Genomic DNA, 27,743 nt, shown 5'->3' with positions numbered 1-27,743 from the left:
CCCCCAGTGCCTCCAGGTGAGTATTGAGGAGTGGGCAGTGTGGATTAGTTCAGGGACAGTGGTGGTTGGTAGAAAACACATTGACATTACAGACTCCCCTGTTAGTTGACATCTTTGTGCCCCAAATGTGAATCCTGGGCCCATTTTCTTTTGTTTTCTTTTCTTTTTTTTTAACTGTGAATCTCACTCCAGTATGACTAGCCCTTGTATTTTCCACGTTCATGTCTTCTGGTGCCTCCTTCTCTTCCTCTTTCTTTCCTCCCTCTCAAGCCTCTCTCTCTGTTTTATGAGACAGGGTCTTATTCTGTCACTCAGGGTAGAGCGTAGTGGGGTGATCATGGCTTACTGCAGCCTCAGCCTCCCACGCTCAATTAGTCCTCTGGCCTCAGGCTCTGAGTAGCTGGGATGAAAGGCATGAGCCACTACACCGAGCTAACTTTTGTATTTTCTGTAGAGACAGGGCTTCACTATGTGGCCCAGGCTGGTTTCGAACTCCTGGGCTCAAGCGATCTTCCTGCCTCAGCTTCTCAAAGTGCTGGGATTACAGTGAACCACACTGCACCTGGCCCTCTCTCTCTTTATGGATACATAATATTTTACATATTTTTTTTGGGTACATGTGATATTCTGTTACAGGCATAGAAAGAGTAATGATGAAGTCAGGGTATTTGGAGTATCCATCACCTAAGTATGGGTTGATCCTAGCACTCATGTGAAGAACCTGATGGTCCTGAAGATGCTGCCTAAGTTCTGGGGGCACCAGATGGAATCCCCTCACTCAAGGCTGCCACCAGATGGAAGGGAGGGAGCTTGGAGCCCAAGGATGGGCACTGATTTTGGGGGCACAGTTTGTCTGGGGCCCACATGGGAATTTTGAGCAGAGAAGTATATTTGGGAAGCAGAAGGAAGATTCCCCAGGCAGAAACCTGCAAGCCCCTTTACACATTCATTCAAATGCCTTATTGTGCACTTGCTGTGTACCGTGCAGGGATGCTCTAGCTGCAGAGGGTACATCCCTGAGCATGGTAGGACTAGGCCGTGCCTTTGGCGCATTTGTGGTCAGTTGAAGGGAAAGCTGGTGTGGAAGGGGCTCTTCCTTTCCACCTGGATGGATATTTGGATCACATTGAGGGGAAGCTCTCAGATTGGTGAAGATGATAATGTTTCTCCACATTAGAGATTTTAGCACCCTGAGGGACGCTGGCATGCTTGCTGACACCAATTCAGGGGTATGGCAGAGAGACTGTAGGATGGCCCCCAATTATTCATGCTGCTGGTGTTCACATCCCTGCGTAATCCCCTCCCCTTTTGTGTAGGCAGGACTTGCTTCTAGCCAACAGGATACAGCAAAGTAGATGGGATGTTGCTTTTGCGATGACATTATACAGGCTTGTAGCTTGTGTCTTGCTAGCACACTGTCTGTATAGACTCTTCCTCTTGCTGGCTCTGATAAAGAAAGCTGCCCTATAAAGAGGCCCAAGGGGAAGGACCCAAGGGTGGCCTCCAGCTGACAGCCAGCAAGGAACTCAGGCCTTCAGTGTGACAATCTACAAGTAACTGAATCCTGCCAGCAAGCGTGTGAGCATGGAAGCAGATCCTTCTCTAGTCAAGCCTCAGATGAGACCACAGACCAGGCTGACATCCCTGACTGACAGAGGCCTCAGCTGTACCGAGCCTGGATTCCTGACCCACAGAAACAGTGAGATAGTGAGTCAGTGTGAGTTGTTGTAAGTCATTCAGTGTGTGTTAACTTGTCATCAGCAATAGAAAGCAGGACTGGAAACCTCTTGAAAACTCCAAAAAGATCCACCTGGTTGCCTCTTGCTCTTCCCTCTTTTGGGACCATTTCAGTGCTCTGCTAGGTGGTTTTCTGCTCAGGCAATATGAGTGATCTGAAAAGGGAGAAGGTGACGTTGTTGGTCAGGTCATCTGCAAACCTCCCTCAACATAGTAGTGCTTACATTTGTGTGCCTATTTGTGCTTTTCTGAATGCTTTGAATTATTTTAAAAAGAATTATTAAACTATTACTCCCACTTTTTCCCAACGGACATAGCTCAGAGGGGTTAAGTGATCAGTGCAGGTTCACATAACTAAGTAATGACACAGATGGGACCTGAACCTGGGTCTCAGGAGGCTCTGGTCCCTGGCCAGACTATGTGACTATGTACATCCACCTGGTTTCTGCTCATGGGTTAGTGTGTGACAGGAACATTCCATGATGGCTGCAGCCTCCATCCCAGGGGCACTTGGAGAAGCCATTCCACTCAGCCCCCTTGACCAGAAGAACCCTTGGGATGGAAAAGGGAATCCTGATTCTGCAACTACGTGCTCCCATGAGATCTGATTTTCAGCCAGGGCTGATCCGTGGCTGCCAGCAAGGAAGCCACATCATCTCATTGTACTAGACTGGCCCGGCTGAAAGATTAGACAACAACGTTTACTTTGCCATTAGCCCTGCCTGGCACTCAGTATGGTATTGCCTGGCTTTCAGGGGCACTGGTAGCAGTGTCTCCGATGCAGGGCAGCCCCTGCCAAGGGCACAGGTGTTCATAAATATTCCATGAACCAATCAAATCAAGCAATGGAATGAGATCTAAGGAACCTAGTCACGGCAAGCCTGAGACAGAGCACTTAAGCATGATAAATGTTATCGAGCTGGTCTGATAGGCATTGGGGCAGCTGGTCCCCTCGCAGTTTTCAATCAAGGTCTCACCCCAGGGACAGGATCTTCCAACACCAAAGAGAACATTGTGTTTTCCACTCCCCAGTCCCAGACCTGGGCTGCTTCTCCAGAGATGCCCGCAGGTTTTAAAAGTTAAATTGATGATAACTTTTTTGGCTCAAGTATAGAAGTAATACATTATCATTGTAGATTATTTATAGGTAAATAAAATTTTTTAAATGACTTTTAACCCCACTACCCAGAACTAACCACCACTGGCGTAGTAAATGAATATATTGATTTACTTACAAATATAGGACCACAAGATATGGCACATGTTTTGCAACCAACCTGTTTTGATAGGCCCAGCTTGCTTCTGCTGCGCTACTTTATTTGCAACCCAAACCCGCTTTTAAAAGAAAAATCATGGTCTTGTATTTTACAAGTGATTTTTATAAATCTACATTATCATTTTAAAACTTTTCTCAAGATATGATATGCACACAGAAAGGTGCATATCGTAAGAAACAGCTTGATGAATTTTCACAAACCAAGCACACGCATGTAACCACAACCCAGACCCAGCAAAAGAGCATGTCAGGTACCCCGGGACCCCACCCCAGGCTCTTCCCAGTCACTATCCTAGGGCCAAACCAAGCGTATCACTACTCTAATTTCCAAACAGCAAAGATTCATTTCCCTGTTTTTGTACTTTTGCTAAGCAGTACCACATAACAAGCACTTTAGTTTGCATTGTGCTTCTTTGCTCAAAATCATGTTTAGGAGAGGCATCCACGAATGGCGGTGTGTGGAGTTGTTACTCAGTCATTTTCATTGCTGTGTATTATTCCTCTGCATCAATATACCTGTTATTTTCTCTTTTTCAGTTCATAGGCATTTGGGAAGCTTCCAGTGTGGAGTTCTTAGGAACAGTGCTCTATGAACGTTCTCTTATATACACATCTTCTTTCTTCTCCTTTTATTTATTTATTAAAAACAATAGAAATGAAGTCTTGGTATGTTGCTCAGGCTGGTCCTGAACCCTTGGCCTCAAGCAGTCCTTCCGCCTTGGCCTTCCCAAGTGCTGGATTTACACCATGAGCTACTGTGCCTAGCTCTTTTCTTTTTAATTGACATGTAATAATTGTACATATTTATGGGTACATAGGGATGTTTCCGTACACATAATGTTTAGTGATCAGATCAGAGTAATTAGCATATTTATCATCTTGAACATTTATCATTCCTTTGTTTTTTTTGGAGGCAGAATCTCGCTCTGTTGCCCAGACTGAAGTGAAATGGTGCCATCTTGGCTCACTGCAAACTCCACCTCCCGGGTTCAAAAGATTCTCCTGACTCAGCCTCCCGAGTAGCTGGGATTACAGGCACCTGCCACCAAGCCTGGCTAATTTTTGCATTTTTAGTGAGACGGGGTTTCACCATGTTGCCAGGCTGGTCTCGAACCCCTGAACTGTTCCTAGGTGATCCACCCGCCTCGGCCTCCCAAAGTGCTGGGATTACAAGTGTGAGCCACCTCGCCTGGCCTTATCATTCCTTTGTTTTGGGAGCATTCAATATCCTCCCTCCAGATATTTCAAACTATAGAACTTACTATTGCTAGTTACAGTCATTCTAATACACATTCTTTTTTTTTTTTTTTTTTTGAGACAGGGTCTTGCTCTGTCACCCAGGCTAGAGTGTAGAAGCACAATTATGGCTCACCACAGCCTTGACCTCCCAGACTCAAGCAATCCTCCCACCTCAGCCTCTCAAGTAGCTGGTACCACAGGTGTGTGCCACCATGCCTGGCTAATTTTTTTTATTTTTGTGTAGACGGGGTCTCCCTGTGTTGCCCAGGCTGGTCTCAAACTCCTGGGCTCAAGTGATCCACCTGCCTTGGCCTCCCAAGGTCCTGGGATTACAGGCGTGAGCCACTGTGCCCGGCTTCTAATACACATCTTTTAGAGAACATATGTATGTGTTTCTGTTGGGTGTATACTCAGAGTGGAGTGTGTCCTTGAGCAGGAAGGGTGCTGGGGTCTATGGTCCAAGCTCTCAAGGGAGAGTCAGGAAGCAGAGAGGAGGCACTGGGGGCAAGAATTTGCCCAAGCCCTGGGAAGGGAGTAAGAGAGCCGGGAATCTCAACCACAGCCTCCCAACACCAAGCTGCTCGGCCCCCAGAAAGGGTTCTGACACCTGCTTTGGGCAAAATACAAGAGAAGGTCTTGGAGGAGGCAGTGACAGAAATTCGGTACTGGGCAGAGCAAGGGTTAACTGGAAGCAAAAAAGAAAATGTTTGGAAACTGGGAGTGGGCTGGGGGCAGATGGAGGGAGGATGGAGCTATTAAGCAGGAGCTGGAAAATTCCTGGGAACTGGGGCATGACCAGGAAGTTGGCCTGCAGTCTCCAGGCGGGCATGGGGAGATTCTGGGCCAGCCTCCCCAGCCCCTCACAGCCCTGCTCTCCCTCAGAGCACCTGCCTTGAGCTGCGCCTGCCCAGAGCCCCAGTGTAAACCCACTGAAACTGGTGGCCTGGGGTGTGAACCCCTCTTGGGGACAGAGGTTAAGGTCCCCTGATAGTGCGTCCTGCCCCCGACAGCCGCAGCTCTTTTGTCCTCGGTATCTCAAATACCACGTTACTCCCAGGTGTGCACAGCTCTGGACCTGGCCTCCTCAGCCTTTTCTGATCCAATCTGTCCCCATCTACGCCCTGTTCCTTCTAAGGGGTGACCTGAATCCTGGTTTCTGACCTGTGACTCTGCCACCATTGGTGCCAGGGGCAGTAGGCTGGGGGTGTGGCCAGAGGGTATTTAAAGCACCTGTCCTGGGCCTCCTGCTCCAGATGGGAGAGCCAGGGAGCCCAGCTGCCTGCTCCTCCAAAGGACCTGCAGCAGCAGCTTTGAGGGTCTTCGTGCCTTAGCCTGGGGTGGGCGGCAAGGCAGCAGATTCAAGCAGAAGGCTCTGACGTCTTCTTACAGCCTACTCCCTGGCCAAACTGGCCATGCTTATGAGCGCTTTGCCTTGTTCATCTTCTCGTTCATTCACTCATTCATACATTCCACATGCCAGGCAGTAGGCTTGATAGAGATGAATCAGCCATGAGTTTTGTCCTCAGTGGGTTTACATCTGAGTGAGAGAAGTAAGACCCATACCTCAGTCACTGTAATAAAAAGCAGAAAACAGTAGAAATTATTAACTAGGGCAGACACTAAGAAGGGTATAAAAGGGACAGAGTGCTAGTCATTCAAGAAAAGGAGCTTACTTCCAAGGGACATATGGGAGGCCATCGTGGAGGAGGAGGCATTTAAACTGTCTTAGTATCTGGAGGCTGAAATCAGTCCAGGAGTGTGTTCCTCCTTCCTAGGGGAGCATCTCATTTTTACAAAGATCTGGACCTGGGGCAGTGTAGATGTTGAGTGAATGGTTGAGCATTAAGCATCCAGGCTGACTGTCAGGTATGAAGTTTTCATTGCTAGAAAAGGTAGAGAGGAGGGCTGGGCATGGTGGCTCATGCGTGTGATCCCAGCACTTTGGGAGGCCGAGGCGGGCGGATCATGAGGTCAGGAGTTCAAGACCAGCCTGACCAACATGGTAAAACCCCGTCTCTACTAAAAATACAAAAATTATCCAGGCATGGTGGCGCGTGCCTGTAATCCCAGCTACTCAGAGGGCTGAGGCAGGAGAATCGCTTGAACTCGGAAGGCAGAGGTTGCAGTGAGCTGAGATTGCAGCATTGCACTCCAGCCTGGGCAACAGAGCGAGACTTTATCTAAAAAAAAAAAAAAAAAGAAAGAAAGAAAAAAAAAAAAAAAAGGAAAGGTAGAGGAGGCTTCTGGGCCTGGCTGGAGGCTCCAAAACCACGCCACTGTGGAGGAGGAACACAAGCCTCCTGTTTTCGACCTCAGCAAGGGGTGTGCCTGTGTAATCCACGGTGGAGCCTGGAGCCTGCTCCTGTGTCCCAGTCCACGCTCCGGGATGGGCTCAGGTAAAGCTGTAGGCAGGCCCCGGCCAATGCGTCCTCCGGGGGTGGGGGATGTGGGGCTCAGGTGGGAGGTGTCACAGTTCCCAGTTTCAATGCTGAGAGCTGTGACCTGGGCTGGAACAGCTTGCCTTCCTGCCCTCCTGCCCTGGGCGGTCTGAATTCTCCCACTGGGCTACATCCTCCCCTGCCTCTGAGCCTTGGCACAAGCTGTTCCCTTTGAAAGCGTTTCTCTGTCATTACCTAGAGTGTCAGAATCCTTGTGGAAACAGGTGGCCCACCTAGAGGTTTGAAGAGATTTAGTGAGGGGGTGGGCAAGGGTAAAGGACCCCAAAAGCGATGAGGAGGCACCGGGAGCCAGCAGCAGTGGAAAATCAAAAGGAGCGCAGGGAGGGACTAGCACTGCCAGGACCCAGCTCGAGCTGGGGCTGAAGGTGGAGGGTACTGGAGCCTGGGGGTCAGTCTCTCCGCCTCGGAGCAAGGCAGATCCCGGTGGAAGGCAGGAGAGAGGAGGAGGGGGAGGGCCCTTGCTAATGCTCTCCTTCAGACCCTGCTCCCCCGTACCTTCCTCCCATGTCCTGCTGCCGCCTTGCCCCCCAGCACCCAGCAGATGGTGCGTGACCACCTGCAGTCGACCCTGTGCTCAAGGGGAGGGGCGGGGTCTTATCCTTTTCCTCTGGCACCCACCCCAGTCTGGCACAGAGCCCAGAGATATCAGTATGTAAAAATGGCAAGGAGAGCCGGGCACGGAGGCTCATCCTGTAATCCCAGCACTTTGGGAGGCCAAGGTGGGTGGATTGCTTCAGTCCAGGAGTTCGAGACCAGCCTGGCCAACATGGTGAAACTCTGTTTCTACTAAAAATAGAAAAAATTAGCCAGGCATGGTGGCACACGCCTGTAGTCCCAGCTACTCAGAAGGCTGAGGTGGAGAATCACCTGAGCCCAGAAGGTTGAGACTGCAGTGAGCCATAACTGTGTCACTGCACTCCAGCCTGGGCGACCCGAGTGAAACCCTGTTTCAACAACAACAAAAGAAAATATTTTAAATCTACAGAAAAAGTGCCAGAATAGTGCAACAAATTCCCATATATTTGGGAGGCTGAGGAGGGCAGATCACCTGAGGTCAGGAGTTAGAGACCAGCCTGGCCAACATGGCAAAACCCCATCTCTACTAAAAATACAAAAAAATTAGCCGGGCGTGGTGGTGCATGCTTGTGATCCCAGCTACTAGGGAGGCTGAGGTGGGAGAATGGCTTGAACCTGGGAGGTGGACGTGGCAGTGAGCCAAGATGGCACCACTGCACTCCAGCCTGGGTGACTGAGCGAAACTCCCTCTCCAAAACAAACAAACAAACAAACAAACAAACAAACACCTCCCACAAATTCCCATATATATTTCACTCAGATTCATTATTATTATTATAATTGCTTTTAGATTCACGTATTGACATTTTACTGAATTTATTCTCTTTGTCTCTCTCTCCATACACATGCATACATGCATATTATTATTATTTTGGCTGAATGATTTGAGTCAATTGCAGACATCATGATCCTTTGCTCCTAAATCTTTAGTGTGTGTTTCTAAGGACATTTGCTTACGTGGATGATGTCAAAATGACCACAGGCAGTAAGTCTTACATTGATACGATACTATTATCTAATACACAGCACATATTCAGATTTCACCAGTTGTCCTAAAATTGTCCTTTTTTGTGATTTTTAATTTTCTGTTCCACAACTCAATCCAGGATCGCACATTCTTTTGGGTTCCAGGTCTCCCAGGTGTCCTTTGATCTTGAACAGTCCCTCCCTCTGCCTTTTTCATTCATCACGTTGACACTTTTGAAGAGTATAGGCCAGTTGTTTTGCAGAATGTCCCTCAACTAGGGTTTGTTTGATGTATTCTTTCTTTATTATTATTATTTTTTGAGACTGAGTCTTGCTCTGTTGCCCAGGCTGGAGTGTAATGGCGCAATCTTGGCTCACTGCAACCTCTGCCTCCCCAGTTCAAGCAATTCTCATGCCTCAGCGACCCCAGTCGCTAGGATTACAGGTGCACACCACCACGCCCGGCTAATTTTTTAATTTTTATTTATTTATTTATTTATTCATTTATAGAGATGGAGTTTCACTATTGTCGCCCAGGCTGGAGTGCAATGGAGTGATCTCGGCTCACTGCAACCTCCACCTCCCAGGTTCAAGCAGCTAATTTTTGTATTTTTAGTAGAGACGGGGTTTCACCATATTGTCCAGGCTGGTCTGCCACTCCTGACCTCAGGTGATCTGCCCGCCTCGGCCTCCCAAAGTGCTAGGATTATAGGTGTGAGCCACCGCACCCAGCCTAATTTTTGTATTTTTAGCAGAGCCAGAGTTTCTCCATGTTGGTCAGGCTGGTCTCAAACTCCTGACCTCAAGTGATCTGCCCACCTCAGCCTCCCAAAGTGTTGGGATTATGGGCATGAGCCACCGCACCCGGCCTAGGGGTGACTTTCTAATTCTATCATTTCTTTTACATTTTACATTTTTAATTGGCATTCTTTGGTAAGGAAAAGCTTTTCTTCTTCCTATTTATTTACCTATCTGTTTGTATTTCTTGATCAGTGTGGTGTCATAGATTCCTGCTTTGGTCAGTGAGTTCTAATCCATTATTGCCATTTATTTTCATGCTTAAATTGCCCAGTATTCTTTAAACACATTCCAGCATTCTTTGTGTTTCTTGGTGTTATGGGTTGAACTGTGTCCTCCCTAAAATTCATACGTTGAAGTCCGTGTAGAAAGTAAAAAGTTCCTCTTCAACGTTTCCCTTCTTGTTAAAGATTAAATCATAAGTGTTAAAAATAACAGTTTCTTTTAAAAACTAAGTTCCTTCAAGCCTCCTTACTTTATGCAAATAACTTTGTTGGGCCCTATCCTACGTAGCTGTTAAACGTGCTCATAGGCTTGTAGTACATTCTACGTCCTTGTACCTTAACCAATATATTTGTGCTGGACACGCTCACAGTCACGTTCCAGCTCGCAGCCTATGCCCCTTCCCTATTTGGCATAAGCAACTTCCTCTTTTCCTTTATTTTTCCATTACTTTTACCTATTTAGAAAAGTTTTAAACTGTTAGCCAATCGAGTTTTAGTTTAGATTGTGAGGTCTGGCTCCAGCCAATGAAGACAGGACACAGTAGCAGGGACCAACTGCATAAAGGATAAAAATTGCTTCCCTCCTTTGTTCAGGTGTGTTCTCACCATTGTTGCATCTGCGACGAGCACCCTTTCTGCAGAAAGTAAAAATGGCCTTGCTGAGAGAATTACATTTATGTTCAAGTACCATTTCTTTGCAGAACTGGGGAACAAGCATTCTGTTTCTAAATAAACATTTTTACATATAACAGTCCTGCCCCCCAGTACCTCAGAATGTGACTGTATTTGGAGACAGGGCCTTTAAAGAGGTGATTAAGGTTAAATGAGGGCTGGGTGCGGTGGCTTACACCTGTAATCCCCAGAACTTTGGGAGGCCGAGGCAGGCGGATCACCTGAGGTCAGGCATTCGAGACCAGCCCGGCCAACATGGTGAAACCCTGTCTCTACTAATAATACAAAAATTAGCCAGGTGTGGTGGCGGGCATCTGTAATCCCAGCTACTGGGGAGGCTGAGGCAGGAGAATCACTTGAACCTGGGAGGTGGAGGTTGCAGTGAGCCGAGATTGAGCCACTGCACTCCAGCCTGGGTAGCAGAGCAAGACTCCATCTCAAAAACAAACAAACAAACAAAACCATTAAATGAGGTCATCAGGGTGGGCCCTAATCCAACGTAAGTGGTGTCCTTATAAGAGGAGGAGATTAAGACACAAACACACACAAAGACCGTGTGAAGACACTGGAAGAAGACCGCCATTTACTAGCAAGGAAGGAAGCCTCGGAAGGAACAACCCTACCAACACCTTGAGCTTGGGCTTCTAGACCCCAGAATTGTGAGAACACAGATTTCTGTTTTTTTTTTTTTTTTGGTGTTGTGTTTTGTTTTGTTTGAGACAGAGTCTTATTCTGTTGCCCAGGCTGAGTGCAGTGGTGCAATCATGGCTCACCATAGCCTCAGCCTCCCAGGCTCAAACAACCCTCTCACCTCAGCCACCTGAGTAGCTGGGACTACAGGTATGCACCACCATGCTTGGCTAATTTTTGATTTTCTGTAGAGATGGGGTCTCACTATGTTGCCCAGGCTGGTCTCGAACTCCTGGATGCAAGCAGTCCTCCTGCCTCAGCCTCCCAATGCTGGGATTACAGGCATGAGCCACCGTGCCCAGCGATTTCTGTTGTTTAAGCCACCGTGTCTGTAGCATTTGTTGTGGCAGCCTGAGCAAACTCATCCAGGCGGCAATGTCCACGCTTCCTGCTTTTGCAGAGTTGCACTCAGCGTGCACCTATGACGTTGGGTTTTCTTAACATTGAGTTCACATGATGTTCATTCCAAAAGTATTTATTAAGCAGCTATTATTTTAGGCACAGAGGATTCATCAAGAAACAGGACAGACCCAAATCTTTGCCCTCATGAGTTTACACACCAGGGAAGGAGACAGATAACCAACAAGATAAATAAGCAAATTATAGCGTGTGATTCTGTGAAGCCAGAAAGAAACTACAGTAAGGAAGAAGATGGGGAGTGTCAGGACGGTTGACATTTTAGACAGAGGGACCACAGAGGGCCCCACCCTGGAGGGGGCGTGTGAGTGGAGACTGGAAGGAGGTGAGGGAGGGAGAGTGCTTGTTACTCATGATTTGAGCTGTGCTTTTCTTTTCTTTCTTTTTATAGGCAAGTCAACTTTATTTTTTTGGTTTGCATTTTATCCTTTCCATTGTTTATCCATTACGTATCTACATACTTTTTTTTTTTGAGACAGAGTTTCGCTCTTGTCGCCTAGGCTGGAGTACAATGGTGCGATCTCAGCTCACTGCAACCCCCACCTCCCGGGTTCAAGCAATTCTCCTGCCTCAGCCTCTGGAGTAGCTGGGATTACAGGCTTCCGCCACCATACCCAGCTAATTTTTGTATTATTAGTAGAGACGGGGTTTTGCCATGTTGGCCAGGCTGGTCTCGAACTCCTAACCTCAGGCAATCCACCTGCCTTGGCATCCCAAAGTGCTGGGATTACAGGCGTGAGCCACTGTGCCCGGCTACGTTCTTATTATTAGATCTTGCTGGGTGCAGTGGCTCACTCCTGTAATCCCAGCACTTTGAGAGGCCAAGGTGGGAGGATTGCTTAAGCCCAGGAGTTCTAGACCAACTTGGGACACATAGCGAGACCCCCATCTCTACAAAAAATTTAAAAATTAATGGGGCATGGTGGTGTGTGCCTGTAGTTCCAGGTTCTTGGGAGGCTGAGGTGGAAGGGTGGCTTGAGTCCAGGAGGTTGTGGCTGCAGTGAACCGTGCAACTGCACTGCAGCCTGGGCAACAAGTGAGACCCTGTCTCAACAAGAAACAAATTTAAAAACTTTAAAAAGTAAATGAACAGGCCTTAAAGTAAAACATTGTCTACCTGGGAAATATTTTTAAATAGCCAAATATATGTGTCTAACCATTGGAAACATTTAAAAGTCATAATATTTATTTAGAAGATAATATTAATTGTAGACTTTCTTTAGGAAATATATTTATTGTAAAACTGTATTCTATAGTTCATATAACCTTTGTAATAAAAACTCAGGCAGCTAATTTTTCATTGCATTCTGTTCTGCACAAACATTTTTGCAATATATCAAAATTGTGTATTTGTAAAAATGGTCTGTGCTTTTCTTTAGACAGATGGGCAGATGTAGTCCACGCTCATCACTTTAAGAGCAAGGAGCAGGCCGGGAATGGTGGCTCACACCTGTAATCCCAGCACTTTGGGAGGCCAAGGCAGGCTTATCACGAGGTCAGGAGTTTGAGACCAACCTGGCCAACATAGTGAAACCCCATCTCTATTAAAAATACAAAAAATTAGCTGGGCATGGTGGTGGGTGCCTGTAATCCCAGCTACTTGGGAGGCTGAGGCAGGAGAGTCGCTTAAACCTGGGAGGCAGAGGTTGCAATGAGCTGAGATGGAGATCACGCCACTGCACTCCAGCCCAGGCGACAGTGCAAGACTCCGTCTCAAAAAAACAAAACAAAACAAAAAAACAAAAATTAGCCAGGCATGGTGGTGCGTGCCTGTAGTCCCAACTACTTAGGAGGCTGAGGCAGAAGAATCTCCTGAACACGGGAGCCAGAGGTTGCAGTGAGCCGAGATCGCGGACTGCACTCCGGCCTAGGCGACACAGCAAGGCCCTGTCTCAAAAAAAATAAATAAACAAAAGAAAAAGAGCCAGGAGCAGATTCTTTCCTATTGATAATTTCCCTGCTCTTAGAATCTGGGGTGCCTTCCATCTTTCACTGGTAATAGAGTCCCTGGGAAAATCTTTGTAGCTAATATATATTTTATAACTAATAATAATAAACATATATTTACTTATGTGAGATGTATTTCTCAAAATGGGATTCGCAGGTCTAAAGGTAGGAGAGTTCATATTACAGTGGTTTCATGTCGCTAAGTAACTGTTTAAGTAGATGGAACCAATGGGCGGGTCTAAGACCACCACATGTATGCATGTAATATCCGCCTTGGCCACTAGGCGTCAGTCCTCCACTGACAGTAGGCTTCCTGATGGCCTTTTTTCTCTGGGGAATAATTCACTCCAGCAGGAACCCAGGCAACCCCAGCAAAGATATAGCCTCCTCTCTATTGGGGGTCTTTCCCTCTCTTTTATAGAATAATGCTTAGCTTTCCCACCATCTTAAAAGCAATCACGGAAGAAACTCAGAAAAGTATAAGGAGAGAAAAAAATTGTCCATACAGTTGCCTTTTGGATAGAATGAGTGTTAAATCCTTTGGCTAACTGTTAACCTTTTGGTCTTTGTCTGGTGTTTAAAATAGAAATAGCTCGGCTGGGCGCAGTGGCTCACGCCTGTAATCCCAGCACTTCGGGAGGCTGAGGCGGGCGAATCACGAGGTCAGGAGATGGAGACCATCCTGGCTAACACGGTGAAACCCTGTCTCTACTAAAAAATATAAAAAATTAGCCGGGCGTGGTGGTGGCCGCCTGTAGTCCCAGCTACTCGGGAGGCTGAGGCAGGAGAATGGCGTGAACCCGGGAGGCGGAGCTTGCAGTGAGCCAAGATCGAGCCACTGCACTCCAGCCTGGGCGACAGAGCGAGACTCCGCTTCAAAATAAATAAATAAATAAAATAAAATAGAAATAGCTCATGCTACGAGGTGACAGGCATGTTCTAAATGTTTTATATGTTAAATTCATTGAGTCCTCACTGTAGTCCTAGAAGGCAGAAACTGTTCTTCCCTGTGATTTTTTGTTGTTGTTTATAAAGTTTAACAGCTTTATTGAGGTGTGTCTCGCATATCATAAATTTGCCCATCTGAAGTGTACAGTTCAGTGGTCTTTTTCATGTTTACGGAGTTGTAAAAGCATCACCGTGATTTAATCTCAGAACATTTCCAGTACCCCAGGAAGAAACCCACATGCATTAGCATACCTACTCTTGCCCTTACCCATGACTAGAAGGGACTATTCTTATCCCAAGTTTACAGATTAGGACGCTGAGGCCCAGAAACAAACTTTTCCAAGGTCACGTGACTCGTACATATCAGTGCTGGGGTTTGAACTCGGGCAGAAAGGCTCTGGGCCCCGCATGCCTGGCTACTTGCAGACATCATGATCCTTTGCTCCTAAATCTTTAGTGTGTGTCTCCAAGGACATTTGCTTACATGGGCAATGTCACACTGTTCACATGCAGAAAGTCTAACATTGATGTGCGCTCAGCAAGACTGGGGTCATGTGACTTAAGATGGCTGCAGAAAAAAACAAATTAAAAATATTTTTTAGGAAAGGTCAGGTGTGGTGACTCACACTCGTAATCCCAGCACTTTGGGAGGCTGAGGCAGAACGATTGCTTGAGCCTATGAGTTCAAGACCAGCCTGGGCAACATGATGAGACATCGTTTCTACAAAAAAAATCACAAAAAAATTAGCCAGACGTGGTGGCACGTGCCTGTAGGCCCAGCTACTCCGGAGGGTGAGATAGAACTGCTTGAACCCAGGAGATTGATGCTGCAGTGAGCTGTAATCATGCCACTGCGTTTCAGCCTGGGCAACGGAGTGAGACCCTGTCTCAAAAAAATAAAAACATAAATAAAAGAATAAAAAAAAGGCCGGGTGTAGTGGCTCACGCCTGTAATCCCAGCACTTTCGGAGGCCAAGGCAGGAGGATAACTTGAGCTCAGGAGTTTGAGACCAGCCTTGGCAACATATTGAGACCCTGTTACTCTAAAAAAAAAAAAAATTTTTTTTTAAAGAAAAGAAGAAACAAAAAAGATAAAAAACCAAAAAGATGGCTGCATGATTGTCTACCTATGCTGGGGCACTCTGCTTAACAGACACTGGGAGGCTCCGGATTTTCCCTTGTGTAAGAGACTCTGAAGATTACATCCCTGCTCATATATGTTTCTGGGCATTTCTGACCATTGAGTTAGCCTAAATCCTGAAAGCAAAATTGCTGGGACAAAGACCACACTTTTTATTTTTTTTATTTTTTTGAGACGGAGTTTTGTTCTTGTTGCCCAGGCTGGAGTGCAGCGGTGCGACCTCGGCTCACCACAACCTCCGCCTCCTGGGTTCAAGCGATTCTCCTGCCTCAGCCTCCCGAGTAGCTGAGATTACAGGCATGCACCACCCAGGCCTGGCTAATTTTGTATTTTTAGTAGAGATGGGGTTTCTTGACGTTGGTCAGGCTGGTCTTGAACTCCCCACCTCAGGTGATCCACCCGCTTTGGCCTCCCAAAGTGCTGGGATTACAGGCGTGAGCCACCGCGCCCGGCCTGGCCATACACATTTTAAGAACAAATCAACTCCAAAAAGGCTGTATCAATTTACACTCACAAGAAGTGTCCAAAAGCTGTCTTTTAAAAAAAAAGTGTTTTATTTCTTAATATGCTTTAATGCTTTTTTCACTTTCCCCAAATTATAAACTGTAGGCTAATGACACCACCTAGAACTAAGGACGTTTACTCAACACAATCTACTGATAGACGTTATAGTCACTCGCTGTAATTTCTTCTCACTTCTTAAGAAACAGCATAAAAATAATGAGAAGAATAGGCTGAGATTCTTTTCAGAAGATTAGAAATGAATCCCAGGCAATGTTCATGAATAATAAAAAGCCTCCCAAGCTTAAGGACTCTGATGCAAAACCGGAATTGGGAATGATATACTCAGTTATCTTTTCGAGCTTCCATACAACACAGAGATCCTACAATCCAAAAACGTTTTAAAGAGAGACATTTTTAATTTTGATAAGAACCATCTTTTTCTCCACATTCTCTCTCAACAAAGTTTATGAATCTCTTTGGTCTGCAGTTGGTAAAGGATAAAAGTGGAGGGGGCAGAATTCTGCTTTGTTATTTACATTTATTTTATTTTATTTTTCTTAGAGACAGGGTCTTGCTGTGTTGCCCAAGCTGGAGTGCAGTGGCATGATCACAGCTCACTGCAGCCTCAATCTCCTGGGCTCAAGCGATCCCTCCCACCTCCGCCTCCCCAAATGCTAGGATCCCTCCCACCTCCGCCTCCCCAAATACAGGCATGCACCACCATGCCTGGCCAGGGTTTTGCCTTGAAGATCAGAATTCATCCTCATGCTGTGGGCACAGGTTACAAATATAGAACCTCAAAAAGAGTTTTATTTATTTATTTATTTATTTTATTATTATTATTTTTTGAGACAGGGTCTCACTCTGTCTCCCGGTCTAGAGGGCCATGGTGGGATCTCGGCTTACTGCAACCTCCGCCTTCTGGGTTCAAGTGACTCTCATGCCTCAGCCTCCCAAGTAGCTGGATTACAGGTGTGCACTACCATGCCCAGCTGATTTTTTGTATATTTAGTAGGGACTGGGTTTCAATGTGTTGGTCAGGCTGGTCTCGAACTCCTGGCCTCAAGTGATTCGCCTGCCTTGACCTCCAACAGTGCTGGGATTACAGGCATGAGCCCTGCCTCCAAAAGAGTTTAACTCCCTCCCTCTCACCGCTGCACTTGATGAGTCTTTAAAAAAAAAGTTTGAATCATTAATAGACACCAGCTCCAGCCTGTGGCGTGGAAATCTTCCCCTGGCTCCCTGAAGACAAAGACAGACATTTAAGGGTGCAAACCCTGACCAGCACGCTGTCACCTCTCAATAATACAAAAATTAGCCAGGCGTGGTAGTGCACACCTGAAATCCCAGTTACTCGGGAGGCTGAGGCAGGGGAATCACTTGAATCTGGGAGGTGGAGGTTGCAGTGAGCTGAGATCACGCCATTGCACTCCAGCCTGGGCAAGACTCTATCTCAAAAAAAAAAAAGTGTGATTGAACAAAAAGGGAATGATCTAGTGTTGATAGACTGAGTGGAGAAGCCCAGAAATGCCCGTCTGTTGAGATTCTTCTTGGTCTCTCTGTGCAGCATTCCTTCCTCCAGGGTATGGGGCAGGACTCCTCTGAAGTGGAGTTTTATGACCTGCAGTCGGCCAGTCAGAGAATTTCTTTATGAACAGAGGCAGGGGAAGATTAGAATATATTTTTAGGTGCTAAGGCCTGCCTTAGAGAGAAAAAGGAGCAGGTGAAAAGAAGGCCGAAGGAGGTCAGGGAGAAAGATTCTGTTTTCTGGGGCCTGGTTAGAAGCCTAACACACTCCAACCTCATAACAAAAGACAGTAACAAGGGCTATGCGGGTTATGAGCCAGGAACTGTGGATGAAAACTGATGTGTGTTTATACATATACATATATATAAACACACATTTTATATATATACACATAAAATAAAAAGTCAAAAGTCTGGATATTTATGTGAAATCCCTGATCTTTAGCTGTTAGCAGCTAATTAATTTGTTTTTCAAGAAACATAGTGTGGGCCAAAACTTAAGCAACTGTGGGATGTGTAGGTTTTTATTTCTGGCCTAGAGTTGGGAGTAGAAAGGGGGCTAGAAAGGGAGGGTGTAGAGGGCTAGAAAGGGAGAGTAGAAAAGGGGTAGAAAGGGAGGGTGTTCAATTCATGTTTGTTGAATGAATAACACATGGAATGCATTGATTTTCCTTCCACTTGTAAAGAAAGACTACCAGGGTCAGATAAACCAACTGACTTACTGAGAACTCCCACTTGATGAGCACCCGCTGTAATTCCCCTGATAGGATCCAGGCTGGAAACATTTTGTCTGCCAAATAAAAAGAAATAATTAAAGTGTATTGCTAATCAAAAGAGACAAAAAAAGAACCACTAGGAGCTTCTGCTTGCCTGAGATGAGAAGAGCTACCTTCTTAAACTGGCATTATTCCAGGCGAAGGAAAGAAAATGGAATGGTGTGGCTCCTTCTGGGACTTCCAGGGCCCTCATGTTCCCATACAAGATCCAGATCCAGTCTGTGCCCATCTTGGGTAGAGCAATGCCAAGGCTGATCTGATCCCCAGGGTTGGGTTGCAAGTGACTTGGGGGCTCTGTATCTTTTTTTTTTTTTTTTCTGACACAGGGTCTACCTCTGTCACTCAGGCTGGAGTGAAGTGGCACAATCAATCTCTGCTCACTGCAACCTCTGCCTCCCTGGCTCAAGCAGTCCTCCCACCTCAACCTTCCTCGTAACTGGGACTACAGGCATGCGCCACCATGCCCAGCTAATTTTTGCATTTTCTTTTGTAGAGACAGGCTTTTGCCATGTTGTTCAGCCTGGTCTTGAACTGGGCTCAAGTTATCCTCCTGCCTTGGCCTCCCAAAGTGCTGAGATTACAGGGATAAGCCACAGCGCCTGGCTGGGGTTCTGTGTCAGTTTTACCCCTACTGCCCAAATTTGTCAACATGGGATATCACAGGACATCAGCTTATTAGTAGACGTAGGGAAACTATAATCAATACTTATGTTAATTTTTTCTATATGAACTATATTTTGGGTAATCACAAATAGTTGACTAAAAAGTTTTTTTTCAAACATCAGTTTAAGGAATAAGGAAAAAAAGTTGTTTTATTAAAAAATTCCTGGCTGCGTGTGGCGGCTCACACCTGTAATCCCAGCACTTTGGAAGGCTGAAGTGGGTGAATCACTTGAGGCCAGGAGTTCGAGACCAGCATGGCCAATATGGCAAAACCCTGTCTCTACTAAAAATATAAAAATTAGCTGGGCATGGTGGCGCATGCCAGTGATCCCAGCTACTCAGGAGGCTGAGGCTGGAGAATCGCTTGAGGCCGGGAGGCAGAGGTTACAGTGAGCCAAGATTGTGCCATTGCATTCCAGCCTGGGTGACAGAGCAAGACTTTTTCTCAAAAAAAAAAAAAAAAAAAAAAAAAAAAAAAGCAAGGGGGACCTATAGCGATGGCAACTCTTGCTCTAACTGGTTCCTCTCTGCCTCTCTGCAAAGGTTACAAGGTTAACAGAGTCTCCTCTTTTATTAAAAACCCAATAATCCTGGCCAGGCATGATGACTTACACCTGTAATCCCAACACTTTGGGAAGTCAAGACAAGAGGATGGCTTGAACCTGGGAGGTTGAGGATGCAGTGAGCTATGATGGTGCCACTGCTCTTCAGCCTGTGTGACAGAGCGAGGCCCTGTCTCAAAATAAATAAATAAATAAATAAATAAATAAATAATAAATTCCAATGATTAAATTCAGAAGGAATGGTAGAATTTGGAACTCATTGTTTTGCAACTTCTAATGAAACAATGGATCTAGGGCAAAAATCATCAACAGATGCCAAAACCGTAAGGTGGAAGGTTGAAGGGTAAGTTCAGGATTGGATGGATTAGGTTGATAACACCAGGACCCGCGGATTAATCTAGCATCTGTAAGAGTGAGACAGTCAGAAATTATGTGCTTCTTTATGTGATACAATAGGGAATATATGGAACTACCTAAGAAGTATTTTAATTAAAATTTTGAATTCAAGTCTAGATCTCATGACCAGGCATAGGAAATAATGTAGGTAAAGGAACAAAAAAACAATCATTCAAATCCCATACGTGGGACATCCTGTAGGACAAATGACCTCTCCATGCTCCCCCTACTTAAAAAAACAGACTTTACTTTTTAGAGCAGTTTTAGCTTCACTGCAAAATTGAGCAGAAGGTACAGAGATTTCCCATATATCCATGCCACCCCACCTCACATGCACAGCCTCTCCATTATTAATATCTTGCCCCAGAGTGGTACATTTGTTACAATTGATTAACCTACGATGATGCTTCATTATTACCCCAAGTCCATGGTTTACGTTAAGATTCACTCTTGGCATTGAACATTCTATGGGTTTGGACAAATGTGTGATAGGTACCCACCATTATGATATTATACAGAAGGCCGGGCATGGTGGCTCATGCCTGTAATCCCAGCACTTTGGGAGGCCGAGGCAGGTGGATCACCTGAGGTCAGGAGTTCAAGACCAGCCTGACCAACATGGTGAAACCGCATCTCTCCTAAAAATACAAAAATTAGCCATGCATGGTGGTGGATGCCTGTAATCTCAGCTACTCGGGAGGCTGAGGCATGAGAATCGCTTGAACTGGAGAGGCAGAGGTTGCAGTGAGCCAAGACTGCGCCATTGCACTCCAGCCTGGGCAACAAGAGTAAAACTCCATCTCATACACACACATGCACACAAAATAAAGAACAGCTTCACTACTCTGTGCTCTGCCTATTCATCCTTCCCTCCCACCAGCCCCTGGTTACCACTGATTGTTTTACTGTCTCCATAGTTTTGTCTTTTCCAGAATGTCATATAGTTGAAATCATACAGTATATGGCCTTTTAAGATGGGCTTCTTAGCCAACTCATTTTCAACAAAGGCACCAAGAACATACAATGGGGAAAGGACAGTCTCTTCAGTAAATGCTACTGGGGGTGCTGGGCACAGTGGCTCACGCCTATAGTCCCAGCACTTTGGGAGGCCGAGGCGGTGGATCACATGAGGCCAGGAGTTCAAGACCAATCTGGCCGACATGGCAAAACCCCATCTCTACTACTTGGGAGACTGAGGCACAAGAATTGCTTGAACTCGGGAGGTGGAGGTTGCCGTGAGCTGAGATCAGTCATGCCATTGCACTCCAGCCTGGGTGAGAGAGCAAGACTCTGTCTTAAAAAAAAAAATGGCCTGGCACGGTAGCTTACTCCTGCAATCCCAGCACTTTGAGAGGCCGAGTGCTGGGATTACCTGAGATCAGGAGTTTGAGACCAGTCTGGCCAACATGGTGAAACCCTGTCTCTACTAAAAATACAAAAGTTAGCCAGGTGTGGTGGCAGACACCTGTAATCCCAGCTACTCAGGAGGCTGAGGCAGGAGGCTCGCTTCAACCCAGGAGGCGGAGGTAGCAGTGAGCCGAGCTTGCACCATTGCACTGCAGGTACTGGGAAAACTGGGTATGCTATGCAGAACAATGATGAAACTAGATCATGCAAAAAGTTCAAATCAAAATGGATTAAATACTTAAATGTAAGTCCTGAAACTATGAAACTACTAGAAGAAAACATTGGGGAAATGCTTCAGGACATTGGTCTGGGCAAAGATTTCTTGGATAAGACCTTAAAAACACAGGCAAACAAAGCAAAAATTAACAAATGGGATGTAAATCAAGCCAAAAGGTTGTGCACAGCAAAGAAAACAATCAACAAGGTGAAGAGACAACCCACAGAATGGGAGAAAATATTTACAAACTATTCATCCAACAAGGGAATAACAACCAGGAATATATAAAGAACTCAAACAACTTAATAGCAAAGAAACAAATAATTTGATTAAAAATGGGCAAAAGATCTGAATAGACACTTCTCAAAGGAGGATACAAATGGACAACGGGTGGAGAAAAAAAGACTCAACATTCGTAATGATCAGGGAAATGCCAATTAAAATCACAGTGAGTTATCATCTCACCCCAGTTAAATAGCTGTCATCAAAAAGACAGAAGATAACAGATGCTGGTGAGGAGACCAAGAAAGAGGAATGCTCATTCACTGTTGGTGGAAATTTAAATGAGTACAGCCTCTGTGGAAAACAGAATGCAGATTTTTCAAAAAACTAAAGATAGAACTATCATATGATCCAGCAATCCCACTGCTGGGTATATATATCCGAAAGAAAGGAAATTAGTCGGCCGGGCACGGTGGCTCACGCCTGTAATCCCAGCACTTTGGAGTCTGAGGTGGGTGGATCACCTGAGGTTGGGAGTTCGAGATCAGCCTGACCAACATGGAGAAACCCCGTCTCTACTAATAATACAAAAAAAATTAGCCGGGCATGGTGGCACATGCCTGTAGTCCCAGCTGCTCAGGAGGCCGAGGCAGGAGAATTGCTTGAACCCGGGAGGTGGAGGTTGCCATGAGCCGAGATCGTGCCATTGCACTCCAGCCTAGGCAACAAGAGCAAAACTCCGTCTAAAAAAAAAAAAAAAAGAAAAAGAAAGAAAGGAAATTAGTCTATTGACGAGATATCTGCACTCCTGTTTTTATCGCAGCACTATTCGCAGCAGCCAAGCTAGATAGACTAATTACCCAGATTTGATCATTACGCACTGCATACTTGAAATCAAAATATCCCGTGTACCCCATAAATGTGTACAACTATTATGTATTCACATATACATTTTTAAGACTGGCTTTTTTCACTTAGTGATATGCACTTAAGTTTCCTCCTTTTCATGGCTTGGTAGCTCATTTCTTTCTTTTTTTAATTTTTATTTTCGTTTTTATTTTTTGAGACAGGGTCTCATTCTGTTGCCCAGGCTGGAGTGCAATGGTACCATCTTGGCTCACTGCAACCTCTGCCTCCGAGGCTCAAGCCATCCTCCCACTTCAGTCTCCCAAGTAGCTGGGACTACAGGTACACACCAGTATGCCTAGCTAATTTTTCTCTATATATATTTTTTGTAGAGATGGGGTTTCGCCATGTTGCCCAGGCTGGTCTTGAACTCCTGAGCTTGATGGATCCACCTGACTCGGTCTCCCAAAGTGCTGGGATTACAGGTGTGAGCCACCGTGCCCAGCCGATTGCTCATTTCTTTTTAGTGCTTAATAATAATCCATTGTCTGGATGGAGTACAGTTTATCTTCTTATTCACTCACTGAAGGGCATCTTAGTTTCTTCCAAGCTTTGACAATTATAAAGCTGCTATAAATAGTCATATGCAGGTTTTCGTGTGGGTATAAATTTTCAACTCCTCTGAGTAAATCCAAGCAGTGTGACTGATGGGTAATATGGCAAGAGTATGTTTAATTTTATAACAAACTGCCAAGCTGTCTTTTAAAGTGTCTGTGCCATTTTGCATTCCTACCAGCAACGAATGAGAGTTTCTGTTGCTCCACATTCTCACCAGGATTTGGTGTTCTCAGTGTTCTGGATTTTGGCCATTCTAACAGGCCCATACACTTACTTTATAAATAAATTAATGGCATATAAAGGGGGACTGCTATCTACTAAAAGTCTTTTTTTTTTTTTGAGATGGAGTTTCGCTCTTGTTGCCCAGGCTGGAGTGCAGTGGTGCAATCTTGGCTCACTGCAACCTCCGCCTCCTGGGTTCAAGCGATGCTCCTGCCTCAGCCTCCCAAGTAGCTGGGATTACTGGTGCCTGCCACCACGCCTGGCTAATTTTTGTATTTTCAGTAGAGATGGGTTTTACCATGTTGGCCAGGCTGGTCTCAAACTCCTGACCTTGTGGTCTGCCCGCCTCAGCCTCCCAAAGTGCTTGGATTACAGGTGTAAGCCACCGCGCCCAGCCCATTAAAAGTCTTAAGAAACAGCCACCAAATGCAACACATGCGGATAACCTCAAGATCTTGATCCTGGATCTGAATATATCAACTGTTAAAAGGCATTTTTGAGAGAATCAAATAAATTTGAACATGGACTGGTTATTAGGTGATATTAAAATTGGTAATTAAAAGAAAAGTTGGTAGTTTTGTTTGGAATAAGAGAGCATTGCCGCTATAAATATATATATTTGAATATATATATTAATTACAGCTGTGTATATATATATATATATATAATATGACCCTTATCTCCTAGAAATGTACAATAAAGTATTTACAGTGAAATGGTAAGCTGTATGCCTTAAAATATTACAGCAAATATAAATATATAAAGAATAAAATTTTTAAAAAGTAAGAGTGTCGCCAGGTGCGGTAGCTCATGCCTATAATCCCAGCACTTTGGGAGGCTGAGGCAGGTAGATTGCTTGAGGCCAGGAGTTTGAGACCAGCCTGGCCAACATGGTGAAACTCTGTCTCTACGAAAAATACAAAAATTATCTGGGTGTGTTGATGCATGCCTGTAATCCCAGCTACTCAGGAGGCTGAGGCATGAGAATCGCTTGAACCTGGGAGGCGGAGGCTGCAGTGAGCCGGGATCACGCCAGTCCACTCCAGCCTGGGCAACAAAGTGAGACAAAGAAAAAAAAAAGGGGGGAGTGTGTATATAAAACAAGGATTTGCAGAAACAGTGTAATTCTTGATGCTGAGTGATGGAATATGAGGTCCATGACACTATTCATTTTTACTTTTATGTTTGAACCTTTTTTGTAATAAGTTGAAAACATTTCCATTTTGAAGTTTCTGTCTTTAGTGGTATCCCAAGGGTCCCAAGCAAGGCCGACCTGGGTGGGCCCCACACTGGCTGAGTTGCTCCTGAGCCTCCCCTGCCCACGGCTCCGGCCCTCGTCCTGCTGTCTCCCACCACTACCCCTCGAGGTTGTCTGATCATCAGCTTGAGACTTTGAGGAGCCGTATCAGGGCCTGGAAGTGGAAAGGATGAGAACATTTTTAGAAACAACAAAATGGGGGTCTCCCTCCCTGGCTTTGTCTGCTTTAGTATCATCTGTAGGGAAGGGGCAGGGGCCCGGATAGGGAGGGAGCCAAAGACTGAAGCAGTGGAGGTGTTTTGAAGGGAAGGGAGGAGGGATTCATAACTAAATAACAGAGAGGAGGGCAGCTTGCACAGGATGCAAGACAGACTGGGATGGGAGAGAAGCCCAGGGGCGTGAACAGAGGGTCTGCAGAGCGGAACAAGATATTGGAAAAGGGCCTCCTGTGGCAGCGGGACATATGCAGTGAGTCAAGTTTAAACAGAGAACAGCCAGCTGTGGGGAGGAGAGAGCTAGGATTTCTGTGGTACCTACCAGCAGTCCAGTCGCACTTGGATCTTCTGGTCAAATGGTTCTGGAGGCTGCGTCCTTCCTGCTGGAATTCCTGCTCCAGACATGGAGGTGGTAGAGATGCTTACTGCTGGTGAGCCATGGGAACGAGGCCATATTCAGTGGCCCTTTTATTACTCTGTGGCCATTGGCATCATCTCAAGCTGGACAGCAAAATAGCAGGTCACCCAAAACATCTCTCCTTTTAAAATATTGTCCAATATATCTAACCTTTCTTGGCACGTCTTGGACCTAGAATTTTTTTTATTGTTATTCATTCCTTTAGTAAAGGTAATTCATCAGCCTGACTCGAGTTTCTGTTGAAGAATCCATGAGCTTCCCAGTTGGTAACTTCTGCCTTATGGCTGTCAGATCTCATCCCACAGAATCCAAGTGCTGGAATGTTCCATTGGGCAGGAGTGCAAAGGTCCTTTAGCTCCTGCATGTCAGTGACGTGGCACCTGGTCTACCATGCTCCATTCTGAGTCCAAGGCAGATATTGCCAGCGAACCACAGCACCCCCTACCACTGGATGTGGCCCCAGAATCCCGAGCAACATACAATCCCTTCAGCCACGTGTTCTAGCAACCAGCGTCGGCACTGGATTGGGAATGATTGCTATTCTTGGACAAGTCCAGTCTGTTATCCCGGAGATGGGGAAACTGAGAGCTGGGGTGTATAATTTACAGAAGGGATGCAAGGTAGGTTAGTGAAGTGCTGGGACCCGGGGCTTCTGGCTCTCAGGTAATCCTCTTCCCACCTGGGCATAGGCTTGGGGAGCTCTGAGAAGGGAAAGGTGAGAGAATGCTCAATTGCAGTCCCTGCTGCCAGCTTCCGTAGGTCACTTTCGGGGGTCTGCAGGTGCCAGAGCTGAAGTTCCTTCCTCTTTCTCCTTAAGTCCGGCTCCAGTTCTGTTGCCAGACCTGCCATCTTATGGCAGCAGGAAAGCAATATTGGAAGCTGCCAGACACAGTGGGGGCAGCCCCGGCTGGAGTGGCACCAGGAAGCAGGAGGCAGTGGTGCCGGTTAGTGCTTGACTTGTGCCCAGCTTGGCAGCCCCACAGCTTCCCCTCCTTGTTCATAACACACTGACCCTTGTAAGTTGGTGTGACACTGGCCTGTATTTAGAGTAAGGAACATCTTCTGGTCAGACTTCGACAATTGAAACCCAATGTTCTATTTCATCTTTAGGGGATTCTTGGCTGAGTTGGGAGGGTCAGACAAGGGTGCATTCAAGGACTTGTTGCCTCTCTGAGGCTCAAGAAAGACCTTGGAACTTTGAAGGCCCTGATGAGGGATGAACAACTGATGCTTTCTGGGGGCTTCACTGTATGGAGACAAAGAATGGAGCAAGGAAAACCCACCGGGAAAGCCTGGGCATTACTTGGGTCTCAACTGATTTCAAGTTGAATTCTAGCCACCAGACATCATGGTCAGGTGCTGATGCCCCATGGCCATCTTCCAAGAAGGAATGGAAGAACCAGACTCTGCCAAAGGAGCAGCCACCTTCGGGGGGCCCCTGTGATAGCACTGGGGGAGATTAGTCAAGAGCGTTTACTTTCCTCTTGGCCCTGTGGGTGTGCTGGGCGTTCCAGCAGGAGGACAAGCAAACCCCAGGGTTCCTGGTGGTGGCAGTGGCACCCACTGTGCCTCTTGGAGCTGGAGCTGGTGATGATAACCAGCTTATCTACATGGCCCTGGGCCCAGAGCAAACTCAGCTCTATTGACACCTCTTATTTTCCCGCCTCAGTTTGCACATAGCCCCAGGGCTTGCCATTCTGGGAAAGGGGTTGATAATTCATTGCTGGTAACTTGCTCCGAGTCAACAAATCAAGTGTGTGATGAGGTCATGGTGTGTAACTTGTGGCCTCGATGGCCTGGTTGACGATGGTGTGTTCAGGTGTGGACGGAAGACTGGAGATGGAAAAGTAGCCTTTTATTGAACTTGGTTACCTTGGGCCTTTGCAATTCCTGTTCTCCCTGTCCAGAAGGTTCTTCTCCCAGCTTTCTGCGTGGATGGCTATTCAGCCATCATCTCAATGTTCCCTCCTCAGTGATGCCTTCCATGGCCACTCTGGTCTCCCAGCTGTAGAGCCTGACTTGGAGGAGCCCTGGAGACACCTATTGAACGCCTTTTCCCATGTGCTCTTTGTGGGCGCCCTGTGAAGCTGATAATGTCTCCAATTTATAGATGAGGAAACTGAGGCTTAGAGGAGCTAAGTAACTTCCTCAAGGATTTATGGCAAGTAAGTGGTAGAGTCAAGATTTGAACTAGGTCTGTCTGACTACAAATTCTAGGCTCTTGGCCACTCTGCAGCTCATTAGTACTGGGCTTGGGAGGTCAGGAAATGAGGCAGAACAAAAGGAGGAGAGGACGGGTGGGAGGAGGAAGGGATAATTGAGGACAGGTCTCATCTATTAGGAAATATTCATTCTTTCAGTGAACACTTGAGGGTGCTCGAAGCCAAGTTCATAAATTGCTCGCTGTTTATGAATAGCCTTGCAGACAGGGCCATGGAGGACATTGTACAATTTGTGCCCAGAACACAGGTGTCAGGCCATGGGGGAAGAAGACCTGAAGTCAGGTCATGATTCACTGCTGAGCCATGCACCTGGGCAGCTGCAGCCACCTGGAGGAGGCCAGCTTTTTCTGAATCTAACGAAGGCTCCAAATGGGCTAGCAGTGGCCCTGAAGTCCAGGAAACAAAACATTTAGAAAGGTAATGTGGCAGCACTGCAATAGAGGCATGCCCTGGGCATCCTGCAAAGAGGATGCCCAATGCTGCCTTAGGTGGAAAGTTAGGAAGTCTCCCTAGTGGAGGTGGCAACTGAGCCGAGTCTCAGTGGATGAGAGAACTTTGCCAAATGGGCATGGGGAGGAG

General features: G+C 46.2%; 1 long non-coding RNA gene across 2 annotated transcripts, besides 2 other annotated features; it reads right to left on the bottom strand.

Annotated features, from left to right (window-relative positions):
• Positions 1-143: 143 nt before the first annotated feature.
• LOC124902678 (uncharacterized) lies at positions 144-26,996 on the bottom strand. Of its 2 annotated transcripts, XR_007062691.1 has the most exons (4): positions 24,847-26,175; positions 17,844-17,911; positions 5,483-5,823; positions 144-1,892 (listed from the first exon to the last, which is right to left on the bottom strand). It is a non-coding gene; the product is annotated as an uncharacterized LOC124902678 (long non-coding RNA). The 2 variants fall into 2 exon arrangements; XR_007062692.1 differs by lacking the exon at positions 144-1,892 and having other exon boundaries at positions 4,477-5,823; positions 24,847-26,996.
• Positions 6,514-7,013: an enhancer, noted in NCBI's record as "H3K4me1 hESC enhancer chr11:60961473-60961972 (GRCh37/hg19 assembly coordinates)". NCBI's record gives its function as "activates a minimal SCP1, AML or CMV promoter by ChIP-STARR-seq in naive H9 embryonic stem cells {active_cell/tissue: H9 hESC(naive)}" and the evidence as "EXISTENCE:reporter gene assay evidence [ECO:0000049][PMID:30033119]".
• Positions 7,014-7,515: an enhancer, noted in NCBI's record as "H3K4me1 hESC enhancer chr11:60960971-60961472 (GRCh37/hg19 assembly coordinates)". NCBI's record gives its function as "activates a minimal SCP1, AML or CMV promoter by ChIP-STARR-seq in naive H9 embryonic stem cells {active_cell/tissue: H9 hESC(naive)}" and the evidence as "EXISTENCE:reporter gene assay evidence [ECO:0000049][PMID:30033119]".
• Positions 26,997-27,743: the final 747 nt, after the last annotated feature.

The sequence above is a fragment of the Homo sapiens genome, chromosome 11 (assembly GCF_000001405.40).
Source record: "Homo sapiens chromosome 11, GRCh38.p14 Primary Assembly".
NCBI lineage: Eukaryota > Metazoa > Chordata > Mammalia > Primates > Hominidae > Homo > Homo sapiens.
Note: the sequence above shows the minus strand (reverse complement) of the source record. Positions and strands in the feature narration are given on the sequence as shown.